Below are 27972 nucleotides of genomic sequence, written 5' to 3'. Positions count from 1 at the left end.
AGAAATGATAAATATTTAAAACGATGAATCTGCTAATTGCCTTTATTTGATCATTATAGAATGTATACATGCATTGAAACATCACACTGTACTCCATAAATATGTACAATTATGTCATTGCAAATACAATTAAAAAAAAGCAAATTTAAAATAAAATAATTCCCATAGCTTCTATCTCAATTTACAAGAAGTTAAAACAGCAAATTTAATATAAATAATTAAAAGAAAGGAAATAATTAAGATTAACAATCAACCAGGTAGAAAACCAACTATAATAGGGAATAAAAAGCCTAAAGTTGACCCCTTTCTAGCAGCATGATCAAGGAGGCAGAAAACAAAACATAACAATATAAATTGGCAATTAAAAAATATGAAAATGGAAAATTATTGCATTTCCTATATTTCAATGCATTGAACCATAATTAGAAGGCACAACTTCATTCTGATATATGTGATATATAAAACTGGCAAATTCCTCAAAAGACATAATTTGCCAAAAAAACCTACAAGAATAAATTTTCAAATGTAAATATTTCCTTTTCTACTAATGATATTAAGTATGTTTTAGAACTTTCTGACAAATACCCCTGGGTACAGATGGCTTCACTGGCAAATTATTTCCAGCATTTAAAGAGAAAGTAACACCAACTTTATGCAAATATTTCAAGAGAAATGAAAAAAAGGAAATCTTCCAAGTCTTTTATAAAGCCAGTATCACCCTTACCCAGACATTACCAAAAAAAATTAAAAATATTTAAACATCAAAATCTTTTACAATCCCTGAGTGGTTTCATTTTTTCTCCCATGTTTAAAAGTTGTAGTACACTGGAAAATAAGACAGTATAATGAATCACATTGCCATGTAATCTTTCAATAAGAAATTTGATAAAATTTACTACCCATTCATGAGTTGAAGTTAGTAGGATTCTAGGAATGTTGCTATATTGTTGAAGGCTTATTAGAGCTACTTAATTTCAGTTCATTGCACTGCTACAGAAAATATGTGCTAGGTATATGATAAATGTATTATTAATATTAAAGACCAATAATCATCTCAATACATAATAATGGGTAATTTATTTGATATAGATTAAATTTCTATGGAGCAATAAATAAAATAATCAAAAGCACCTCTTTGTCATTCCCCATGATACATTAAATTTTTCCAAAGCATTGATAATCAGATTAAATGTGAAAATCAGCAAGTTACTATGATGAACTAAGTTTTTTTGAAATTACATATATTATATTTCTTTATGTATTTTCTTTTATTTTGTTATTATACTTAATCTGTGATTAAATATATAATTTGGAATGAGTTTAATCCTCTATTCTTCTTACTGAAAAATCTTTTGGAGATGTCAACCACTTTTACCACTGTATGCAGCTTTACCCTTTCTGCCTGGCTTCAGTGTAGCTCTGTCTCAGTGTTTTCTTTCTGTGAGTACTATTAACAATATTAGGAATGCTATAGAAGGGAAGACAGTAAAATAGTGTTTGTGAACTAGGTTACTCATTGTCCCTGCCTATTACTTTGAAATTACCTTCAGTACTTCTCCTGTAGTTCATTCCACTGGCAGGCTCTTCTGCCTGTTGATAATAAACCATACCAGCTCCGTGTAGCACAGCTAATGCTGCTTATTAAACACACATAATTCTCTACTGTAGACAGCGTGGTCTTCGTCTAGAATCTCAGGGGACTGTATTGTGATTTGTCCAGTGAAGCTTGACAGAAACCTCCCACTTTTTCCACCGCTGATATGTTCTAAATAATAGGGCCAGCCAGTGTATATGACTCAAGTAGCAAGTCTGCCCTAGGGCAGTTTCCTCCTCTGAGCTTCATTCAAAGCTGTTAGCCTTCTGTGACAGCTGATGTAGGAGCTAAAGGAGTATTTCTCCTGTAGAATGTGCTGTCTTCACAATCAGAGGAGACCTATCAGAAACTGTTCTGTGCTGTTTGTACTAGGGGATGCAAAGTCAATTATATTTTAGTTTTGATTTATTAATCTGCATTGGGCAGCTCAACTTTTACACATGTAGTATTGTTGCAAATAAAATACATTAATGTCATAAATAAGACAAAATCATTATAACGCTAATCTCATGATTGTGAGATTTAAAATTATTCTTAAAATTAAATTAATTTATTGGAGATATTTTTCAAAGATTTAAACAGATTGTTTCCAGCATTTTTGTCTCTAAAAGTGAGGTGAATTAGATGAGCCTTATAATTATTACCAGATATTTCAGAATATTAAATATAAAACACTCTTCCTGATTTAAGATCAAGTGCAATATGAAGAGATAACTGAAACTAGAAGACAGTGAAAACCTGGATGAATAAATACAAAGCTCACAGAATACATCTTTGTAGTAACCATTTATTTGTTTGTCATGTGATACCTGTTACTGAAATATTTTATTAAGTATATATAATGTGTAGGATACCACTGGATGCTGAAATCAATTTATTCTGGATCAAAAATATATTTTTTACAAACACTTATGGCCAATTTTAGTAAGAAGACATTCTTACTAAAGAATTCACCCCCTTAGGAGAGATGACAGGAAAGCAACTACAGAGGTGTATAATATGGTGTGTGTGTAAAACAAAATACAGCCAATTTATCGGTACTTTTTCTATCCATTCTTCTTCATTTCCAGGAGAGTGAATCAGTGTGAATTAACATTTGTGAGAAGAGATAAATATTCTCTTTCTTTGAGCATAGGATAGCTATTTTACTTCTTTTGCCTGAGATCCCATATTTTCTGCAGTTATATTTCTTATTCTTATGTATATCAATTATTTTAGTAATGTTTGTAAATTGTTGCTAATGACTACATTCTAAGCAACAGTTCTTTTTCTCAGACACTTCACAATGGTCTTTCTTTCTAAATTCAATCTAATCTCCTATCAATGGGGTTTCTATGTTATTTTCAAAATGGTCTTCTGAAATAATCAAAAGGACCATGTTATTTTCATAAAAATATCTTTTGGTGACCTGACATAGCTAATAGAAAATCAAACAAATCAGAATGGTATTCAAGGTGCTTCATGATTTAGACTTGTTAAAATTTTTACCCTCCATACTAGTCACTCTTTTAACACCCTCTGCCTAAATCTTGGTCACACCAATCAATGATCCATCTAGTAATCACTGATTAATCACTTAAACCAATTAAGAGAAGAAAATTCATAGAAGCCTGTAGAAACATGAGACTTTTAAGATCTTTATCAAACAAAATGTGATCTACTCTTCAATACTGGATAGAAGCATCAGCTTCTCTGGTTAGCCAAAATGCCTCAGGTTGTTCTTTTAAGTGTTTTCGTAGCAAGTTAAAAAAAAAAATGTAAATGTGGATTTATCTCCAACCTTTACTTATAGGTTTGAGAAAATAGCCTGTTCATTCAGATTTGTTTTTCCAATGTTTTTCTGGCACATAGTAGAAGTTCAAAAATATATTTAGCATTAATTAGTTATTACTACCAGAAAAAAATATAAATATTATTTATTATAACACATTTTATAAGTATTTTGAGGAATTTGCCAAATTCAGCATTTCATACAGACTACCTTGACAATAGCATTTCTATTTGCTGCAGGTACAAAGATGGTGGGTATAATTGTAAATCTCATTGAAAAGAACATTGTTGCATATTACTTTACATTAACTCTACCTCAACTTGAAAATAACGTAACAGCAGATCTTTATGTCTAGGCCAGGTATGTGCACCCTAAGATTCAGTATGCAACATATATCATAATAGAAAAAACCTCTGGATTTCATAAAGCAAGACATGCTAATGAATAGATAGGCAACTTTGGATCACCCTTTAACACTTTTTAAAATTCATCATATACAAAAATAACATTTGGAATCAGATCCCTTGTAGTTTTGAAATTGTAATTTTGCCTATGCTTTAATAAAACATAGCAAATATGATTCCAACCAATTTGTTCCTAGTTCAATGAACAGCTTGTTAATATTGAACACTTCAGGGAATGTCAGAAAAGAGAGGGCCAGTGCCTGCTCATATATATATAAGTACGTGGGGATGCTTGCAGTTAGAGATGCAGCTCTTCAGAGGCTTGCTCATGCTTGCTCTTGACCAAGAGAATACAAATCTAGAAGATAGGATATGCTATGACATTTCTCTTTTTAAATCCAGAAAAATACTTAATAAAAGTGCTAGTTGACATTTTAACCACCTTGTTTTAGATATTTATTAAAAGCATTTGATGGCTTGAAAAGCAGTGAATATTTTCTTAGCTATGTATGAGAACTGATTGATTTTCAACAAACTGTTTTTCTTTGGTGAAATCAAAATTAATTTTTTCTTCCTAGACCATTAATCTGTCAGATTGAACAAATATTCCATCATGTGATTGCATCAATTTTCATTTCAGTCTTGTGATAAGGGGAAAAAATTCTAAAAAACAACTATCACCGGCCGGGCGCGGTGGCTCACGCCTGTAATCCCAGCACTTTGGGAGGCCGAGGCGGGCGGATCACGAGGTCAGGAGATCGAGACCTTCCTGGCTAACACGGTGAAACCCCGTCTCTACTAAAAATACAAAAAAAAAAATTAGCGGGGCGTGGTGGCGGGCGCCTGTAGTCCCAGCTACTCGGGAGGCTGAGGCAGGAGAATGGCGTGAACCCAGGAGGCGGAGCTTGCAGTGAGCCGAGATCGCGCCACTGCACTCCAGCCTGGGCGACAGAGCGAGACTCTGTCTCAAAAAAAAAAAAAATAAAAAAAAATAAAAAAAAAAAAAACAACTATCACCAACTAAGAGGCATTGATTGAATATACAAATTCTTTGCCTGCTTGGTCCTCTAAATCATATATCGACTGCAATCTCATTCAAAAAACAATTTCAGTTATTTATCCTGTATCCTATTTTTTGGAACAAGTTAGAGGATAGTAAATAGATGGGATAGGGAAAAAACATCAGTTGAAATCATTTGCATAGCTAAGAGCACAGTCACTTAACACACAGTAGGCAATAAATATTTCATCCATAAATGCACATGTATATAGAGATACATATGTACATGGAGATATAGTTCACATCTGTAGTCCATATTAGTGCATGCATTTACAGATTTATCCTTCCACATATATAGGGCATGCCATAGACACAAACACACACACACGAGGGTTTTCAAAGATATCATAAAAATGCATATTATACAAAAACTATTCATGGATTTCAAAAAGATTTTGCACCAAAATAAAGTCATACACCTTGTTAAAACATGTATAAACAAGATCTAGTCTGAGTCACTAAGATGGGTAAGACATCAGTTTGACAAAAGCCCTTGTCAGAGCAACATGAATTCTGCTAAAATTGACCAAGAACAAATATCAAATTATGGTGTAGTTGGGTGGAAGAAATGGTAAAATCATTGATACTTTATGAAATGCTTTACGGGGAAAATGCTCCTCTATCCCAAATTAGCAGTATACAAATGAATAATCCATTCTAAGAAGGGACAAGACAATGTTGAAGATGAAGCCTGCAGCGACAGATCATCCACATCAATTTGTGAGGAAAAGTTCATCTTGTTCATGCCCTAATTGAAAAGAACTGATAACACCAGAAGCAATAGTCAACACCATAGGCATTTCAATTTGTTCAGCTTACATAATTCTGAGTGAAATTTAAAGTTAAGCAAACTTTCCATTCAATGAGTGTCAGACCATTGCACCCAGATCAGCTGAGGACAAAAGCAGAATTTCAATGAAATTTTAAACAAGTGGGATCAAGATCCTGAAGTATTTCTTCAAAGAATTATATTGAGAGATGTAACACAGCTTTACCAGTACAATCCTAAAGACAAAGCACAATCAAAGCAATGGCTACCAAGTGGTGGAAGTGGTCCAGTCAAAGTATAAGTGGACTGGTCAAGAGCAATGATCCTGGCAACAACAGTTTTATGGGGATGCTAAATGCATTGGGTCTTTCTGGAGTGCCAAACAATCATAACATGCTTATTATGAGAGTGCTTCAAGAAAGTTAACCAAAACTTTAGCAGAAAAATGGCTGAGAAACATTCACTAGAGAGTCCTTCTCCACCATGTCAATTCTCCTGCTCATTTCTTTCATCAAACAACGGCCATTTTGAAAGAATTTTGATGGGATATCATTACGTACCTACCTTGCAATCATGATTTGGCTATTTCTGAATTCTTTCTGTTTCCTAATCTTAAAAATTCATAAAGGAAGCCCTTGTTCTTCAGTTGATAATGTAAAAAAGATTGCATTTACATGGTTAAATTTCTAGGAAACTCAGTTCTTTAGTGATAGACTAAATGGCTGGTTTCATTGCTACAAAAGTGTTTTGAACTTGACGGAGCTTTATGTTGAGAAATGTTTTTTGAATTTTTATCTTTTAATTCCTTTTCTTCATGAATGTTTTCTTAACATTAAGTTTTTTAATCAGATGTTTCTTTATGTTGAGAGATTTTTTCTATTTTTATCTTTTAATTCAATTTTTCTATGAAATTTTTGAAGTCCCCTCTTATATGTACACCACATACATCTGTGTGTAAATATATATAGTGTATGTGTTAATGTGTGTATATGTGCATGCATGTACTGTACACACATGCTATTACACATAGACAAATACAAACACATTCAATAATAGAATTAACTAGATTTTAATTTCTGATCAACTGAAAATTACTATCATTTTAATATAAAAATATTGCTATTAATAATGCTTAAGCATCATAAAATCCATACTAGACACTCTCTCTGAAAATTCAAAGTTACTGGTATAAATTTCTATAGAAAACTATATCCTTCATATTATTTGGAATGTGTGTGTCAATTATATATTAACATTATTCCCTGAAATATCATATTTCCCAATCTTCTTAAATAACATAAAGTTCAAGGTACTCACTGATTTAATACATACATGCAGCTTCAGTCAAATTTTAATGCAGAGCTAGTCATGACTAACAGCTCCAGAAATAGCATCTGGGTAAAAATATATAATGTTGCAAGAGTTAGTGGTTGGTGAAATTACATTTTGGAATGGAAATTCGATTTTAAAGTAAATGCTAACATCCTTGCTATGACAGATGGACTCAGCAGCTTTAGAGTGGGCCCCTGCTGTCTCTGTCCCATTCTTGGCTGCCTTGTGTAGGCTTCAGCCCTTAAAGCAATAATAGCCTCTGAGAAGGCAGAGGGATAATGCACACCTTAAATAGCTATAAGTCATATGAGTTCAACTAATTAATATATATCCTCAGATTTTTAACCTCTAGCCATTTACCTGAAAATTATGACAATTGTTTAAAAAAAGTTGGATAATCTACAGTAGAATGCCACATGAAAATATTTTCTATAGCTGTTACACCTATATTATATCTTGAAGTAGATTTCCTCCTTCTAGATTTCTATTTTTACCTATAGTGCCTCCAATCTTGGTAAATGGTAATTCTTAAAAACAGTGGAATGGGTGTGTTGCTATTATAATATGAGAATGAAAGAGTAGTATATAGTTAGCAGTTTGGAACTCAGGAGTGATTATACATTTCTGTGATAAAAAAGTGAAATATGGAGAACTGTTTCATAGTTTGGAACAACTCAAACCTCTCTTCATCTTTTAAATTATATTTATTATCCATTTATATATATAATCTATCATATATAATTTATATATCTTTTCAATTATATTTACTATTGTAGATAGTAGATATGTTTACTATTGTAGATAGTAAATATAGATGTGCAAAAAGAGAATCATTTTAATTTCAACTTTTATGTTTTAATTTTTAAAAAATAAAATGTAAATTTTTCATATTTTAATTTTTACAATAATGTAGTTATGAACATAAACTAAAGTTTTCTAAACTGGGTAATGTTGGAGATGGTTCAATCAGAAGTGTAGAATTATGAACTGGCGATGATGCCATTGCTTAAAATGTATAAGTTCATTACTCACTTCAGTCATGTTGGGAATTGACCCAGAAAAGATATATAGACTTACTATATATCTTTTAATAATAGATTTACAATTTACTATACATTTACTGTAATAGATTTACTACAATAAATTTAATAATAGATTTACTATTGATTATATATAGTAAACATAATTTAAAAGATATATAGACTTACTATACATCTGACATATTTGTGATAACTGAAGTTTTACGTATACAATGTCAAACCAATTTGACGTTCAGTAGAAAATTAAAAACCTAAATCAAGCAAAACGGAATTCTTGATATCATTATAGGCACAATCAGTGGTGGCTACACAGAATTTATCTTTTTTAAAAAATTTTGTTTTTATTTTTAAGTTCTGGATACAAGTGCAGAATGTGCAGGTTTGTTACATAGGTATACATGTGCCATGGTGGTTTGCTGCACCCATCAACCTGTCAAACCGCATGCATTAGGTATTTGTCCTAGTGCTCTCCCTTCCCTGTGCTCCCCACCCCACGACTGTCCCCATTATTTGTTGTTCCCCTCCCTGTTTCCATGTTTTCTCATTGTTCAACTACCACTTATGAGTAAGAACATGCGTTGTTTGGTTTTCTGTTCCTGTGTTAGTTTGCTGAGGATGATGGCTTCAAGCTTCATCCATGTCCCTGCAAGGTACATGATCTCTTTACTTTTTATGACTGCATAGTATTTCATGGTGTATATGTATCACATTTTCTTTATTCAGTCTATCATTGATGGGCATTTGTGTTTGTTCCAAGTCTTTGCTATTGTAAATAATGCTGCAATAAACACACATGTTCTTGTGTCTTTATAGTAGAATGATTTATCTTCCTTTGGGTATATTACTCAGTAATTGGATTTCGGGGTCAAAAGAAAATTTTTGAAATCTACCCATCTAACAAAGGTCTAATATCCAGAATCTACGAGGACTTAAACAAATTTACAAGAAAAAAAAATAAACAACCCCATGAAAAAATGGGTAAAGTTTAGGAACAGACACTTCTCAAAAGAAGATCTTTATTTGGCCAACAAATATGAAAAAAAGCTCATCATCACTGATCATTAGAGAAATGCAAATGAGAATCACAATGAGATACCATTTCATGCCATTCAGAATAGTGATTATTAAAAAGTCAAGAAATAATAGAAGCTGATGAGGTTGTGGAGAAATAGAATTTATCTTTTTTACAAAGTAGTTGCCTGTCATTATGTGGCATCTGAGATATGAAAGACAAAGTTTAGGAGAATAGCATAGCATTCTCTAATATAAACATTTAAAATACTTTAATTGATCTGTCTTCCCCTTTGACTATTTTAAGAAATTATGGTATGATTTGTTCAGAGTAGGTCTAGAATGTGGCACAGAAGTAATAAATAGGATATACATAATAGGTGGCTATTAGTCACAAATCAGATATAGTAATCTAATCATTGCTACCTTGTGACACTTGCCATGCAAAGTGGGCATGGGTCAATTTCACAATATCACATTTAGCATTAAGAATACTGACAAATAGTCTTTAATTGGTAAAGTTGAAATTCAAAAGTCAGCATACAACCACAGAAGTCACCCAATCCTCACTATGTCCCACAGAGAAGTGTGGTGGATGCACGCAGTGAGAACACATGTGTCCCAGTGGTGGGCCCTGCAGTCCCTTCCCAACCTTCCCAGTGGGAAGAGAAAACATTACACAGGTACCAGGCAATCTGGGTTTAGATGCCAACAATTTATGGTATTTGTCTTAAAAACATCAGGGACCCTGCACTTAAAGATTCGATGCATAAGAAAAGCTGAATTTAAATAAAATTCCTTCACAAGGAGAAGTTAGAAGATTTCTCTACTAGTTAGCTCATTGTCCAGGCAATGCAAAGTGAGCTTTGTGGGTCAATTTCCAACAACACTGATGTGACTGAAGTGAGTAATCAACTTCCACAGTTTAAGCAATGGCGTCATCACCACTTCATAATTCTACACTTCTGACTGAATCACCTCCCACATTACCCAGTTCAGAAAACTTTAGTTTATATTCATAATTACATTATTGTAAAAATTAAAATATAACATTTTAAGTTGTATTTTCTTTTAAATTAATACATGAAAGGTGAATTTAAAATTATTCTCTTTTTGCACATCTATATCTGTATAGCTCTATATCAGTTTCTGTTATGGCACCATTCCCATTATTATTAATTGTTTATTTATTCAAAATGAATAAAATCACTATTAATCATTTTACCATTTCAAAATTTTTAATGGGAAAATATAAAAGATTAAAATAATCTCAAGACCTTGAGAAAATAAAAGGAATATGTGTTTCCTACCAGATAATGTTGCTTACCTAAAAAAAGGAAAAGGTACAAAAATGTGTACGTTTTGTACCTTTGTGACTTTCCTCTGCCCTTTCTGATTTATTAAGAAAATAATTTATAAATGAATAAAAGTAAAGAGAATAAAAGAGTGGGATTTGCTGTCTTTAGAGGTTATAACAAAATTAACATAATTAAATTTATTAACTTGTAAAATAAATGTTTTGATATGTAAAAGCACAAAATTTAAAAGTCAGTAGTTCATATTTTCAAGAAAAAATACTAAAAAGATATTATGAAGGCATTATTGTCTTGGTATCTGTGCCATGCATTGGATTTTTTAAATATAAAAATTATGTCACATATTTTTGGTTTCTGACACATTGGATGGTACCCCTTCTCACTGCAGAATCCATGCAATTAAATGTTATTATGAAGGATGAGGTTTATGAATAAATAAATTCAATCCTGGTTGATGTGGTTTAAACTTTATTATTTAGTAACTAGGGTTATCAGCTCTGCAATATCTTGAATTACGTGATACCGTTTAACACCAATACCTGAATCTAAAATTCATATTCCCAGCAGGTATCGTCTTAGTAACTATAAATTCTATATGATCTTCTATTATAAAGGACTAATCAAGTTTAGTGTGATCTTAAAAAAAATTCGGTTGGTCATAGCTTCATGTTTTCTTAAATATAATATATGTATTTATAATTATTATCTATAATTTTTAATAGATCTCCTTGATCAAAATCACAAAATAAAATTTAAAAAACTAGTGTGTAATGAGTTTTACAGTTCAAAGAATGTGTTTAATTTGTTTTTCCATGGAATTAATAATAATCAATATTGAAGACACAGGAATAAACTTGTCCCTAGAATAAGATAAAGAAATTGGGGCTTTGTCTACACAGCACAATTTTTTCCCAGTAGATATAGAAACATTACACGTGCCTATATGACATGTAAATATTTCTTGTAGATATAATCTACATGTAATATGACATGTAGACATTTTTCTACAAATTTAATTAATTTAATAAATATACAATTTGATTGACTGTTTTTTGTCCTTCAGACTGACTAGTAAGTTGTATAGAGACAAATAGAATGGCATTATTGTGTAAGTAACCTACCAAGAGTTTGGGACTTCATAGCTGTAATGATAGACTCTGTAGATCACAATTAACAGGTATATTTCTGAGATGTTAAGATTTAGGAGGATTTCTTTGTAAAATATCCCCTTCAATATTGCATCCAACAGGGACCTGTATTAGTGGGAAACTCCATTGTTGTTTAAGACAAATGAATTCAGTTAATTCTCACTCTTTAATGATGATATAGCATCTTATGTGGATAAGGGAAGCTCATTTTCACTTGTGGGAGTTGATCATGGGCATTGCCTTTCAACTCTAAGTTTAGTGGCCTCATGGGGATAGCTTGAAATCAGCTATTGTAATAGTATTTACACCATATTATACAACCCATCAGAGTTATCAAGCAACACCCTATCCCCAACCCTAAAGAGGTAGTATATACCAGGATACCATCAGTATATTCAGAGTTGAACTCCTGGGTTAGAGAGTGTATACATTTTTGCTTAAATACTTATAGCCAGACATTCTTGCAAAATGGATATAAATAATAACGACTCCACAAACAACATATAAAATTTTGCTTCTTCATTCTTTTCAAAATCTGATATTGTCCTACTATTAAATTTAGCTATTCTGGTGGAGTCATAAACATATCACATTGTGATTTAAAATATGGATTTATTTGTTAAAAAATAATTAGCAACTTTTCATACGTTATTGCTCATTTGAGTATCTTCTTTGGTAAAGTGCCTGTTCAAACCTTTTACTCACATATTATTGGGCTGTCTTTTATTTTATTAGAGATTTGTACGAGTCATTTATACATTCTCATTGAGTGCTCTCTCTTGTGTATGTATTGCAGATATTTTTTCCCATTCTGTAGCTTGTTTTTTCACAATATTAAGTTTTTAAGAAATAGAAATTCAAATTTAATACAATACGAAAAATATATTTTCATTTTTGGCTAGCACATTCTAAAAAATTATTGCTTTATAATTTTTGTTTAGGTTTGTAGTCCATATGGAATTTATTTTCTGCATGGTATAATACAGAATTCAAGTTATTTATTTATTTTGGATATGGGTACCCAACTGACACGCCATCATTTACCAAGATAATTATTCTTTCCCCATAGTTTCTTTCACTACTGAAAGAAAGAATAATTCTTTCTTTTGTCATGAATTATATATGGGATTTTTCTGGATTTTGTTGTTTTGTTGGTTAATTGTACGCATCTGTCTTAATAGCACCTGTTTTAATTGTTTTACTGCATAATAAATCTTGGTATCTACAGCCTTGATTTTCATCTACAATATTTGGCCATTGTAAGTTATTTAAATCAATATAAAATTTTAGAAACATCTTGTTCAATATACTAATAAAACACTTCTTCGAATAGAGGAGAAAGATCAACTTTCTGTGTAACCATGTGAGGAGTTCTATTGACCCACTCCTCAGTGAAACTGGTGAAAACTATTAAACACACATGTGCACTTCTATTAAAAGCCTCTGGAAATAGCCCTAAGAGCAAACAGCAAATGAAGACATGACAATTTAAGAAAATCTATGAAAATATCTTGAGAAAGGCCAGAGTCTGTGGAATGCGAATTAAGTCAGTTTTATCCCTTCCTTCTACCAGCTCAGTAAGTAGGAAATTCCTCTCTAGATTGCTACAACAAGGAACACAGGGACCTCTCTCCTCAGGATTCTTGCTGGAGAGCTTTCTTCCCAGAAGAAACAAGACTTTAGGATTTCTCTTACAGTTTCTAGCTGCTTGTGGGTTGGGATAAGTCCAGGGAACTTCAGTTGAAGTTGGGGACTTCCTTCTTCATCCTGAACACCATAAATTGGGAAAAGAATAATCTTTTTCACAGATAGATCCGAGGCAACTGGATAACCACCTGCAAAGTAAATAAGTGGGATCCTTTCTGTTAACAAATAGTAAGATGGGCATGAGCGGGCCAGGAGAGGGGTCTCCCCTGCTCACTAGAATTATCAGGTGATGGTTTGACAGTTATCACACTGCTTCTCTAAAAATGATAATTTGGCAGCCTACCCAGGATGCCATGGAGGGGCCATTTCCTGATGATCCACAGCTATTAACATTAAAGTGTTAATTGAATCCAGATGCCAGGGAGAAAAAACTTCCTGGGCATGCACGCTAAGAGACAAAATGGCAAAGTATGACCTTCAGGGTGCACTCCACCAGAAAAGGAAGAAAGTCTCAGATGGGTGTGAGTACAACTTCCTAAACACACTGCATGTGCTCAATTCCTAAGGATAAGGGGGCACTGCGAATGGGGGGCCCACCCTAAGGGAAGAATAATGGGAAAGAGGTGAGCCTATAAAGCCCTAGCATCAAGGTTAAAGGCTCTCTTCTCTTTGACCTTCAGGTGCCCTCTTGGATCTCTTTCAAGTGAATTTTCCTTTCTTTCCTGTTCTAAAGCCTTTTTGAATGAACTTCCACTCCTGCTCTGAAACTTGCATTGGTGTCTTTTTCTAGTTTATTCCTCTCAGTCTAATTCTTTCTTCTGAGGAGGCAAGGACTGAAGTTGCTGCAAACCTGCACACATACACCACTGTCAACTCATGGTAACTGGGATCTCTTCCACTGTTAACACTTTCTTCAAATCATGTATGTACCAATAAAACCTCAAAATGGATTAAAGACCTAAATATAAGAGTAAAAAGTTGCCAGGCATGGTGGCTCACGCCTGTAATCCCAGCACTTTGGGAGGCTGAGGTGGGAGGATCACTTGAGACTAGTAGTTCGAGACCAGCCTGGCCAACATGGTGAAACACCGTCTCTACTAAAAATACAAAAATTAACCAGGCGTGGTGGCGGGCCTGTAATCCCAGCTACTTGGGAGACTGAGGCAGGAGAATCGCTTGAACCCGGGAGGCGGAGGTTGCAGTGAGCCGAGATCACACCACTGCACTCCAGCCCGGGTGACAGAGTGAGAGTCCGTGTCAAAAAAAAAAAAAAAAAAAGTATAAAGTGTAACATTCTTAGAAAAAAACATATGGTTGACTCTTCATGATCTAAGATTGGGAAATAGTTTTTAGATATGACAGAAAAAGATGAACAAGAGAAAAATAAATAAATATATTGAACTTTATCAAAATTAAAATGTCTATTTCAACAGATACAACTTTAAAAATACTAAACCTTTTTTTTTCCAAGATGGAGGATTAAAGGTTTTCAGAGTGCCTCAGCCACTCAGAAATAGAAAGATACTACATAAATATCAACAGTGTGAGCTTTAATTCAAGAAGGAAAATGGGAATCCACCAGAATTGTGAACAACACCCCGTATCTCAGAGAGAACACCGGCAAACAACCCTGTGATGGCATCCAGCTGATGAAAGTGAGTGGAGCCCCAGTATGAGAGAGAAAGGCAGAGAGCTTCCCTCGTGATTCAACTTTTGACTTGGGATCATAGCAACCCAGGCTGACGGAGAGCACTTTGATTCTCTTAAACCCTGGAGTTAATTTGGAGAGAGACTTGAAGGTGCTATGATGAAAAGAGACCAGGAAAAACTGCAGACATTTTCTCAGACCCAGGAGTGAAAGCAAGGTGCCATTTTTAGTCCAAGTACATACAAAGTCAATCATTTGTGGAGACCTGGCAGTGTGGCTGTGCAGCCATTTTACTCTCAGGCCAGGGATTGAAGTGTATGCTCTGGTGTAGGGTAGGGGTTTCCACAGCTAAAACTGTGGAAATTACCTCAGCAGTATGTGCTGGAATTGTGCTCTCCTCTGTCATAAGCCTGGGAGGAGAGTTGCTACAGCTGTAGTTTTCTATGGGAGGCAAGACTTGACGTCGGATTTAGCTTGGCGACCTGGAACTGACTCGTTGGTGCCATTTCTGGGCATTGCACTCTGCTCCCCTGAGATCAGGTGGGCCCTCTCTGCTCAACCCCCAGTTAGAAATCCAGGCGTTTGGGGCACCTGCTTGCCTGAACCAACAGCTTGAGCTGCCCTGCTTTTTCTGGACATATATGATGGTGCAGTGAGGCTCTCTCTGCTCCATGCCCAGGTAGATGTCCAGGCATTTTAAGCACTCATTTGCTGGTACAGCAGCCTGAGTTGCCCCAACATTCCTGGACATAGATCTTGGTGTAGTAGGACTCTCTCTGCTTCACGCCCAGAAGATCTCCAGGCTTTTGGAATACCTGCCTAATGGTATCAGCAGCCTGACCTGTCTCACTCTTCCTGTGCAGAGATCTTTGTGCAAGGGGACCATTTCTGCTCCACAACCAGGCAGACCTCCAGGCATCTGAAGCACCCACTCTGCTGGAATAGAAACTTAGGTTGTTCTTCATTCCTGTGCAAAGAAGTTGGAGGCAAGAAGGTTTCCCAGCTCAATGCCTAGGTTCACTACTGGGTGACTGGTGGCCACCCAATGAATAAACCCTTGGCACTGGTGCTATGCCTGCGATCGGGGCATCTGCAGGAGGACCTTCCTTGTCTGGCCCCATTCTTCATGGCTCCTGCCTCTCCCTTACTGAATTTTGTTTAATGTCGGCAAAGATTGGTAGAGTCCTCAAGTTTTTGGAGAAGCAAGTACAATTTATTCTGGAGAAACATCAAAATAAACATCATGATAACTTAAAATAATTTCTTCAAATAATTTTCTAAGGAAAATGAGAAGCTCATAGGACTAAAATAAAAGCAGCACAAGAAAATGAGGCATATGAGCAAGAACCATCAGAAATATTATTAATTACAGCTCTACAAATATTTTATGTTAAATTCTCAGATGTAGAAGATAGTGCATTCAATATCTTGAAAAATAAAGGCTAAACATAAAAATAATTTCCAATTACTCAGAATTAAGAGAATACAGTAAATTAAGCAGCAATTCTGAGAAATGGCTAAATAAATATATATTTGTATATTAAGTATCATCTGTAAAAAATTAATTAGGATATCTGTAAAAGGAAAACATAGCAGATATTAAAAATTCTATATTTAATAGCACACTGAATTGAGAATCGGTGAATTGAAAGTAGATATTAAGAAGCTGAATAAAATGGACCACAAGGAAATAAAGAGGTAGAATAAACAAAAGACATGAAAAGAGACACCAAACACAGAGCGTGAAGTTCTAATCCCTGATTAAAAATTCCAGAGAGAAAATTGAGAGAGAGCTGGTGATCACTGATTTGTCATGAATTGGCACCCCTGACTAAATTTATGAAGATAATTGCTGTTGTCCTATTTCAAACATAAGAGTACATTTCATGGCCAAGGAGGAGAGACAGCTTTTTTTTACACTTAATTTTTTTAGAATAAATATCTTTGTTGTGATAAACAAGACAGTGCAAATACTTTCAATCTGAAGCTCAGTGAGTACTTATTTTATGATCTTGAATAGGAAAATCAATGGAGTCATCTTGAATATGGAAGTCAGTGGATTCTGAAGTTATGGGTAGCTCTTGAGTTGGTCTGAGAATATGTCAATACTCATGAGTTTACTATCATTTTGTAAATGTTTAAGATTGATCAGTTAGTACCCTGAGAATATCTTGATGGGCTTCAGAAATTAGAATCATATCAAATTTATCTAATATGTTAATATATAATTATGATAATGCATATGATATGTCTTATTTCCTTTTTAATATTCTTAAAATATGAAGGCTAGGCCAGGAGCGGTGGCTCACGCCTGTAATCCCAGTACTTTGGGAGGACGAGGTGGGCAGATCACAAGGTCAGGAGATCAAGACCATCCTGGCCAACATGGTGAAACCCCGTATCTTCTAAAAGAACAAAAATTAGCTGGGTGTGGCGCCACGTGCCTGTAATCCCAGCTACTTGGGAGGCTGAGGCAGGAGAATTGCTTGAACATGGAAGGCAGAGGCTGCAGCGAGCCAAGATCACACCAGTGCACTCCAGCACCTGGGTGACAGAGCAAAACTCCATCTCAAAAAAAAAAAAAAAGGCCAATAGGTGATATTTTATCTATTACTCTATGTATCTGTGGTACAGGTATACTAAGAGTTGATTCATAATTCCTCCAGTGTTACTAACACACAGCTATTCTGATCCACTGACAAAAAATAAACAATAGCATAATAAATAAAGCTTAATATAAGATCTAGTTATTTTCAGAAATATATTAAACAACTTTCAGGTTTTGTGTGAAAAGCAAGCATTCTAAAACATATTTTGTGATTATTTTCCACAATGTGTCCAATTATAAAGTTTTGAGAACTTTGTACAATAACTTGAACTCATTAGTTTACACAGCAATAACAATTTTGGCATGAGGTTAGTACTTCAGACTGATAAAACAGATGAGCAGGCAAAATTTTCACTGAAGGAAAAGACAAGCCTCACAAGACTTTGAGGGAAAGGCTGTAACTGATGAGTTTTACAGAGAGTGCCTTTAACTACAGTCAATTTATCTGCCCTTAAGGTTATTTGTACTGAAAGATTCCCCAGAATAGGATTTATAATTTGTAAAGTTAAAAAGGTTTATAGAAAATCAAATTTTATGCATCTCTTTTTCATTAGCTTTTTTCTCTGTCTGATGCAACAAAATTTACATAGAGTCAAAAGTAAGTTGCAGAGGAACAAAACTACACGATAAGGATGCTACTTTCAAAAAGTTTCTTCATTTGCTCTCACCAAAAGGCATATATTGAATGTATAAATAGCACATAAAATTTCAGTTAAATAAGAATTTGTGTGATGTTTGTTTTGAAATTTGAGGACATTATGCTTCTAACACAGGTTCTAATAATGTCAAGCAAAAACAGCTAAAGTTTATTATGTTGATTTTTAATGTTGTTTGATTTTGCCATAAAACAAAATAAATTTATGCTTAAAATTAAATTTCAAAATAATAATTGAACGTATTAGGCAACTAGCTAGAAAACTGATAGTGAGAAGAGAATATATTGATATATTAGATATACACTCAAGATTTCTCTTATATGGAAAGGATATATTAATAACCTAATTGTTTTAATAATGCATATCTAAGATACCTAGTGAAACTATTTTCCATAAATTACTAGCAATTTTTTTTACATTAAGTTCTACATAAGTAGATTCTGTAGTGTTATGCAATAAGAATTATAATTTACTAATTGTTAGTTTCTCTGTAGCAAAAACCAAATGAGTGAATATAAAAGTAGCAATATAAATGAATTGAATTGCAACTTGACTAATATAAATTTTAGTACTACAGAAAAATAAATCAATTTAAGTATATTTACAAATGACAGCTAATTAAGAAGCTCATATTAAATTTTAAAAATTTAAAATGATGTATCTGTTAAAAATCTTTATTATCTTTAAAATTAAATGAAAACATGATTTTTTAAAGATGCAATGGCAGGCCGGGCACAGTGAATCATGCCTGTAATCCTAACAATTTGGGATGCCAAGGCTGGCGGATCACTTGAGGTCAGGAGTTTGAGACCAGCCGGGCCAACATGGTGAAACTCCATCTATACCAAAAAATACATTAAAAAAATTAGCCGGGTGTGGTGGCATGCGCCTGTAGTCCCAGCTATGTGGGAGGCTGAGGCACAAGAATCGCTTGAAACTGGGAGGTGGAGGTTGTAGTGAGCAGAGATCGTGCCACTGCTCTCCAGCCTGGGCGATGGAGTGAGACCCTGTGTCTAAGTAAATAAAGAAACATGCAGTGGCACACGATAAGGATATTATCAGCTTCTCCTTGTTCCTCCTCCACTGGCACACTGGTAAGGTAACAAAAGCAGCTAATACGATATAATGGTTTTTCTGTTCCCCCACAACTTTCTCTATTCTCCGAAAATCATATCTATCCATTTGCCTATTTACCTATGTACCTGTAATACATTTATAGCAACAGTTTTTTAAAACTTTTTTCTCCTTTATAAAAAAAATGCATTATACAGAAAAAAATGAATAAAATATAATGAAAACCCATCTTTATTACCTCTTCATACATATATATATATAATACATATAACACATATAAATGATATATGTATACTTTTTCTATGGATATTTATAAAAATATGTAAAACATATATAAACATATTTTTTAAAGTATTTTTTTTTCATTTTACACTTCAAAAGAAGCCAGGGAAAAATAGGAAAAAATGTAGATAGGAAAATAGAAAATATATAGTAGTAAAATTAAGCCCAGCTATATTAAAAGTTTTATTAAAAATGCTCTAAATATTTCAGTGCAAAAGTAGCGATTGTCAGACTGGATAAAAACAAGACCTAACTATATGCGGACCTAACCATATGTTAGGTTTCAGATTACATGAAAAAAATGGACAGAACTAAAAAATAAATACACAATTACACAATATGATTTAGACTCTTCACTACTCCACTCTGAGTTATGAAAGGCCCCCAAATTAGTAAATGTATCAGAGATATAAATGACACTATTAACTACCTTGTACATATTAAAATTTGTAGAAGACTATTCGGGCGCGGTGGCTCATGCCTGTAATCCCAGCACTTTGGGAGGCCGAGGCGGGCGGATCACAAGGTCAGGAGATGGAGACCATCCTAGCTAACACGGTGAAACCCTGTCTCTACTAAAAATACAAAAACAAAATTAGCCGGGCGGGGTGGCGAGCTCCTGTAGTCCCACTACTCGACAGGCTGAGGCAGGAGAATGGCGTGAACCCGGGAGGCGGAGCTTGCAGTGAGCCGAGATCGCGCCACTGCACTCCAGCCTGGGTGACAAAGCAAGACTCCGTCTCAAAAAAAAAAAAAAAGAAAAATATATATATATGGAATACTAATATTTATTTTTTATATCAACTGATAACAGTAGAATATATATATGTATATATAATATATATATATATATTTTGAGACAGTCTCGTTTTGTTGCTCAGGCTGGAGTGCAGTGGCACATCTCTGCTCACCACAACCTCCACCTCCCAGGTTCGAACGATTCTCCTCCCTCAGCCTCCAGAGTTGCTGGGACTACAGGCACGCGCCACCATGCCCTGCTAATTTTTGTATTTTTAATAGAGACGAGGTTTCACTATGTTGGCCAGGCTGGTCTTGAACTCCTGACCTCGTGATCTGCCCGCCTCGACCTCTCAAAGTGCTGCGATTACATTCTTTTCACCAGAAATAGAATACACATGGGAAGAAGAAACACTGGGCCACAAAACAAATAACCAAAAAATATGGATGAATTGAAACAATGCAAAGTGTTTTCTCTGACCATAATGTATTTCAACTAGAAACCAATGACAAAAACACTTATGAAAAATCCATAGATATTTAAAAATTAAACTGCTTACTTCTAAACAAGTTATTCATCAAATAAGAAAATAAACAGAGAAACTTAAGAATACTTTGAAATGATTTATACTAAAAATTCAGCATATCAACATGTTAGATTTTATAGCTTTAAGCGTTTATGTTAGGAAACAAAAAGCAATAATATAGAGCGTTCCAATTTAAGAAGCTGGAAAACAAAAAGCAAGTCTAACTCAAATTAGAAAGAAAACATGTATCATAAAAGCAAGAACAGAGACTAAAGAAATAAAAAACAGACAAAGGGAATTATGAAATCAATAGTTAGTTCTTTGAAATAAATAATGAATTTGACAACCTTCTAGCCAGACTAAGAAGCACAGAGAAAATATACAAAGTGCCAATATCAGGAATATAAGATAGGAGATCCCAACAGATCCTATGAACACTAAAAGATAATAAAGAGGAATAAGTTTGCAACAATAAATATAAAGGCTTTGACAAAAAAAATGCATTCCAGGAAAGACATACATTACCTAATTAGAACAAAATGAAATAAAAAACCTGAACATGAAACCCTTCCTAATTCATTTTATAAAGTCAACATTCACCTGTTACCAAAAATAGACTAATATATTACAAGAAATAAGTAAAACCATAGACCTATACAAACTATGAAATGCATGTGAAAGTCCTTAGCAAAATATTTCTGTACAGAATCAGGTAATAGAAAAGGATAATACATAACGACTAATATTGTGTTATCTCAGGAACACAATGTTTGTTACCAACTGAAAATCAATCATAGCAATTGATCATATTAACAGTATAATGAATAAATCACATGATTTAGTATATTTATATGTGAGCACATAAACGTGTAGTTAAGTCTATCTACTTATAATTTTCATTTGATTCTAATTTCCTTGCTTTTAGAATACCTTATAAAGTTTTCATTTTATTGATTTCTCTTCTAACAACATTTTGGTCCTGATATACCTATTGTAGGTAATTTATGTTAAGGTATGGTCACAAAATATTATTAAATTATATTAAAATATTATTCTAATATTCAATAATATTACTAAAATATTCTAATACTATTTTCAGACATATTTAATTTTGATCTATTCATTGTCAACCATAATGGATATTATAGCCTATTATTTTCAATTTAGATACATCTTTATATTTTTAACTTAACTACATCTTCAAATTTTGGGCACACTTCAAGGTATTTTTAGCTTTTTGATATGATAGTGTGTAAAAATAATACATTATAAATATATATTTAACAAAAAAATCACAGGGGTTCAATTTTATTTATACTGGATGTTTAATATTTCAAACATCAGCATACATGCATATTTTATTTTTCTATTGCCAAATAAAAGAAAAATATATCTTAGATTTTATATTTTAAGAACTCACAGAATATCTGTCGAATATCTTAATAACTGGAAGAAATCAAGACAGTCTTTAAATATATTTGATAGTTTTTAAATAAATCTGACACAATGAACACACTGAAACTACACTTGAGATAAAATGTCAATGTGTAAAATCAATTACCTATGTTTGGACAGAATATGTAATTTAATTAATATTTGCCATACATATATATTATTTAGCATAGTAGTAGGAAATAAAATTGTTTAATATGGCAGACTTGTAGGAATTCTTGGAGTTCATTTTTGCTACCATAAAAATTTAGATTTAGGGCCTCTGTCCACCCCCACTCAATGTGACTACCAGTCTCTGTTTCCTCTGACTTCCTTACTCCCACAGTTCCCCTACCCCCAATGCTGACATAGACCATAAATCATATGAGAATCCAGGAGTTGTGTTTTTGTTTTTGATTTTCTTTTTACCCCAACGTTTTATGGGGCTTTCTATATAGATAACGAAATCCATAAAGGTAAACAAAATAATTTAAAAAATAATAAAAATTTATACTACAAAAGAAGGATAAGATATTTCAAGAAGAAAAGAATACATTCCACAGAAAAAAGAGTTGGGTGATTAGATAATGAATTGACTAAAATTATAGACTATAGAGAATTGAGGGGCAATTTATAAAAAGCAGAAAGGGATTTCAGAAGTATGAGATGTTCAGCAAGGGGGAAAATTTTTAATAAATTATTTCTGTTTCCTGTTGTTTCCTCATAAGTCTCTGGTAAATGTTTCTATTAGTTTCTAAATATTCATATTCATATCTATATATTTTTCTTTCCTATGTCTAAGAGGTGTTTGTTTAAAACTGGCTTTAAAATTAGAAATCAGTTTTAATTAGAAGCCATGTAACTATTTTCTACAAGTTATAAGAATAAAGGGAACAAAACCCAGAGTAAAAGTATCCTGTGCAAGATCACTCCACTAACGAAAAGGTGGAGCTAGAGAACAAGGTTTCTAACCTCTTGTTTTGATCCCTAGCTATTTGACTATACTACTCTAAAAATACTGTTTGACTATACTACTCTAAAAAGACTGTTCAGAAGTGCCCTTTTTCTGTATTAGAAAAGTATTTGTTCAACCATATTTCTTGGAATAATTCCAGCAAATTAACACTCAGTTATACCTAATCAGTTAATCAATAGGTATTTTAAAATTTTATTTTCTCTACTAGTAAACTGGGAAATAGGCTGTTGACCGTTTTATACAAATAGAGGATTCAGAACCTACCACACTGTGAACCGCTCTCTGTGAACTTCTGAGAATTTTTTATTGTATTCCAAAAAGTAAAAATGCATTTTGAATTATTTTTAAAAATATACCTATAGAAATCACCTTCAGAATATTATACCACCCATAAATTAATGATGTTAAAGCTGAATTTTTTCCCTTTTCTCTGATATTGGAACTTTTTTCAGTGCTTTCAATATCGTAAGTCAGAATCCAGAGGCATATTTCTGACATCTCTATCACAGTTAATTCTCAATCATTCTCCAAGGCTTCCTTCATAAATACCTATTTAATCCTTTACTTATCTCCAGCAACAATTTATACTCCAGCTCAAGTAGTGTATTCCTTGCTTAGATTACTGCAAAAATACTCCAAATAATACATAAACAATAACAACAAAAAACCTCAACTCATCAAGTATTTCTATTCTTCAGTACATTGTCCACCCTATTATCAACATTTGTTTCTGTATTAGTTTATTTTCACAATGCTATAAAGAACGATCTGAGACTAGGTAATTTATGAATAAAATATATTTAATTATTGACTCACAGGGCCACATGGCCGAGGAGGCCTCAGGAAACTTATAATCATGGTGGAAGACAGGAGAGACAGGAGAGAAAGCAAGAGATCTCAGATCTCATGAGAAATCACTTGCTATCATGAAAATAGGATCAGGAAAACAACCCCCATGATCCAGTCACTCCCCTCAGATCCCTCCATTGACACGGGATTATTACAATTTGACATGAGATTTGAGTGGGGACACAGAGCCAAACCATATCATTCCACTCTTGGCCTCTCCCAAATCTCATGCCCTTTTCACATCTCAAAACACAATCATGGCTTCCCAACAGTCCCCCAAAGTCTTAACTCATTCCAGCATTAACCCAAAAGTCCAAGTCCAAAGTCTCATCTGAGACCAGGCAAGTCCCTTATACCTATGAGCCTGTAAAATCAAAAACAAGTTACTTACTTCCAAGATACAATAGGAGTAGAAAAGGTGGGTAAGTACTCCTATTCCAACTGGGAGAAATTGGCCAAAACAAAGGGGCCACAGGCACCATGCAAGTTCGAAACTCCACAAGGCACTCAATAAATCTTAAAGCACTTAAATAATCTCTTTTGACTTCATGTCTCATGTCCAGGTCATGCTTATGCAAGAGGTGGGCTCCCTAGCCCTTGGGCTGCTCTGCCCCTGTGGCTCTGCAGGTACAGCCCCAACAGCTGCTTTCATGGGCTGGGGTTGAGTGCCTATGGCTTTTCCAGGTGCATGGTGCAAGCTGTTGATGGATCTGCCTTTCTGAAGTCTGGAGGAGAGTACCCTCTTCTCACAGCTTCACTAGAGAGTGCCTCAGTGGGGAGTCAGCGGGGGAGCTTCAATCCCACATTCCCCCTCCACACTGCCCTACTACAGGTTCTGTATGATAGCTCTGTCCCTGCAGCAGACTTCTGCCAGACATCCAGGCTTTTCCAAAACTCTGTGGGTGCACAGAAGACAAGCTTGAAACCATTTACTCTCTAGGTTTCCTGGCCTGTGATGGGAGGGGCTGCTGTGAAACCCTCTGACATTCCCTGGAGACACTTTCCCCATTGTCTTGGCAGTAAACTTTCCACTCCTCTTTACTTATGCAAATTTCTGCAGCTGGCTTGAATTTCTCCCCAGAAAATGGGTTTTTCTTTTCTACCTCATGATCAGGCTGCAAATTTTTCAAACTTTTAAGCTTCACTTTTCTTTTAAACCTAAGTTCCAATTTCAGATCATCTCTCTGTGAATGCATATGCTTTCAGAAAAAGCCAGGTCATCTCTTGAAAGCTTTACTGCTTAGAAATTTATTTTGCCACATACCCTAAATCATCTCCTCAAATTCAAAGTTCCATAGATCTCTAGGGCAGGAGCAAAATGCCACCAGTCTCTTTGCCACAGGATAGCAACAGTCACCTTTACTCCAGTTCCCAGTAAGTTCCTCATCTCCATCTAAGACCTCCTCAGCCTGGACTTCATTGTTCATATCATTATCAGCATTTTGGTCAAAATTATTAAACAAGACTCTAGGAAGTTTCAAACTTTCCCGCATCTTCCTGTCTTCTTCTGAGCTCTCCAAACTCTTCCAATCTGCTACCCAGTTCTGAAGTCATTTCCAAATTTTCAAGTATCTTTATAGAAGTATCTCATTCTTGGTGCCAATTTTCTTTATTAGTCCATTTTTCTCACACTGCTATAAAGAACTACCTGGTGTAATTTATGAAGAAAAGAGATTTAATTGACTCATAGTTTTGTGTGGCTGGGGAAACTTATAATCATGGTGGAAGGTGAAAGGGAAGCAAGGCACATCTTACATGGTGGCAGGAGAGACAGTGAGAGCAGGGGAAGTGCCAAATACTTTCAACATCAGATCTCATGAGAACTTGCTCACAGTCATGAGAATAGCATGGAGGAAACCACCCCCATGATACAATCACTCCCACCAGATCCCGCCTTGATAAGTGAGGATTACAATTTGACATGAGATTTTGATGGGGACACAAAGCCAAACCATATTAGATTACAAGACAAAAATCCAATTATGACCTTCTCTGGCTTACGTTTCTCTCATGCTTCACATGCCTTAGGATAAAGCCGAAATCCTTAAGTCCTGCTGTCAAAGTCTTTCCAGATCTAGTCACTGCCTTATCGTACACCACCTACCTTTTATTGTCTTACTCTTCCCATTGTTTCAAGTTTCAGTTAAATGCCCCACCCATGGTATCCATTTATACCTTAAACCAGCAGTTCCCAACCTTTTGGGCACCAGGGACTGTTTTTTTTTGTTTGTTTGTTTATTTGTTTGTTTGAGATGGAGTCTCGCTCTGTCACCAGGCTGGAATGCAGTGGCGCAATCTCGGTTCACTGCAACTTCCTCCTCCCAGGTTCAATCAATTCTCCTGCCTCAGCTTCCTGAGTAGCTGAAATTACAGGCATGCACCACCACGCCCAGCTAATTTTTGTATTTTTAGTAGAGACGGGGTTTCACCATGTTGGCCAGGATGGTCTCGATCTCTTGACCTCTTGATCCGCCCACCTCGGCCTCCCAAAGTCCTGGGATTACAGACATGAGCCACTGAGCCTGGCAGGGACTGGTTTTATGGAAGACAATTTTTCCATGGACTGGGTGGAGGGGAGCGGAGGGATTGTTCCAGTATGATTAAAGCTCATTACATTTATTGCACACTCTATTTCTATTATTATTACATTGTCATATACAAGGAAGTAATTATACAACTCACCATAATGTAGAATCAGTGGGAGCCCTGAACTTGTTTTCCTGCAACTAGATGGTCCAATCTGGGGATGAAAGGAGACAGTGACAGATCATCAGCCATTAGATTCTCATAAGGATTGTGCAGCCTAGATCTTTCACATGTGTAGTTCACAGTACGGTTTACACTCCTATGAGAATATAATGCTGCCTCTGATCTGACAGGAGGTGGAGCTCAAGCAGTAATGTGAGTGATGGGGAGTGGCGTTAAATACAGATGAAGCACTGGTCCCTGGCCTGGGGGTTGAGGACCCCTACCTTCAACTTTTCTAACATAACACCTATTATTATTTACTGTATTTGCCTCATTTCTTTGTATCCTTACACTCCCTTCCAACAGATTTTAAGACCCAAGAAGGCAGAGATTATTTCTACCAATTCACTGTTATGACTCTCAGCACATAAGGCCCTTGCTCAACTATTGTGGAACTATTGAGTCTCTGAATGGCTGAATGCCCAACAAAATAAATAATTTAAAAGAGAACCTTTATTTGATAAGTGAATAAACTATTTTAATTGCATTTTTCTTTCCCTTTGTCATCTTCTAAAATCATCATTTATTTTTGCCTGCAACTAAATAAGCATGCACATTTACACATACATAAACACACACACACACACACACACACACACGCACCCCATAAGTTCTGTGGGCAGAATTAAACATTTCTGAATTTGGCTACAGCATATTTTTTAGTACTCTGGTTCATTAGCCAAACATCCACAACTGCAGCATACTCTCAGGAACAGATGCCTTCTAAAAATTCAATTTCTATCAGTTGACTCATATGTTCACATTGATGTATATTCTAATTTTAAAATCACTTTATTTTCATTTTCCAGTTATTTTCAGTGGCCACTGATTTCTAATATATTGTCACTTTTTCCCAGCCTGCAAATTAACCTTATAAATACCTACCAGTGTATAGTTGCTCAAATGGTTGCCAACATTTAAAGGCACTGCTTTTTAAAGTTCATTTGTTTAAATAATCCTCCTGACAATCAGTGTCTTTTATTTTTAGAAACATTTTAAAAAATGCATTTTTAGAAACAAGTTACTCTTAAAACATAGAACACATGTCATTTACTGTACAACTTTTGAACATGGAGATTCTGGATGACCAAGCTTCTATCCAAGTTCGGTTTGTTAGAAAAGATAGAATTCGTATATGAATTATAGAAATCTGTCTTCTGGCTTTGTAGCTTCAAAGATATATATATATATATATATATATATATATATATATATATATATATATATATCACAGAATAAAACTTGGAATTGTATAGCACTTTAAGATTTGGGGAGAGTTATTCTTGTATACATACTTTATTAAATTTTCACTGCAATCATTTCAAGTAAACACATGTAAACTA

General features: G+C 34.5%; 1 long non-coding RNA gene across 4 annotated transcripts, besides 2 other annotated features; it reads right to left on the bottom strand.

Moving 5' to 3' along the window:
* Window positions 1-24: 24 nt before the first annotated feature.
* LOC124906104 (uncharacterized) lies at window positions 25-27740 on the bottom strand. 4 transcript variants are annotated; one of them, XR_007087400.1, is made up of 3 exons: window positions 26564-27740; window positions 6916-6992; window positions 25-5591 (listed from the first exon to the last, which is right to left on the bottom strand). It is a non-coding gene; the product is annotated as an uncharacterized LOC124906104 (long non-coding RNA). The 4 variants fall into 4 exon arrangements; XR_007087404.1 differs by lacking the exon at window positions 26564-27740 and adding an exon at window positions 13141-13871; XR_007087392.1 differs by having other exon boundaries at window positions 25-6992.
* Window positions 24057-24559: an enhancer, noted in NCBI's record as "H3K27ac hESC enhancer chr2:186349823-186350325 (GRCh37/hg19 assembly coordinates)". NCBI's record gives its function as "activates a minimal SCP1, AML or CMV promoter by ChIP-STARR-seq in primed H9 embryonic stem cells {active_cell/tissue: H9 hESC(primed)}" and the evidence as "EXISTENCE:reporter gene assay evidence [ECO:0000049][PMID:30033119]".
* Window positions 25620-26120: an enhancer, noted in NCBI's record as "H3K27ac hESC enhancer chr2:186348262-186348762 (GRCh37/hg19 assembly coordinates)". NCBI's record gives its function as "activates a minimal SCP1, AML or CMV promoter by ChIP-STARR-seq in naive H9 embryonic stem cells {active_cell/tissue: H9 hESC(naive)}" and the evidence as "EXISTENCE:reporter gene assay evidence [ECO:0000049][PMID:30033119]".
* Window positions 27741-27972: the final 232 nt, after the last annotated feature.

The sequence above is a fragment of the Homo sapiens genome, chromosome 2, assembly GCF_000001405.40.
Source record: "Homo sapiens chromosome 2, GRCh38.p14 Primary Assembly".
Taxonomy (NCBI): domain Eukaryota; kingdom Metazoa; phylum Chordata; class Mammalia; order Primates; family Hominidae; genus Homo; species Homo sapiens.
Note: the sequence above shows the minus strand (reverse complement) of the source record. Positions and strands in the feature narration are given on the sequence as shown.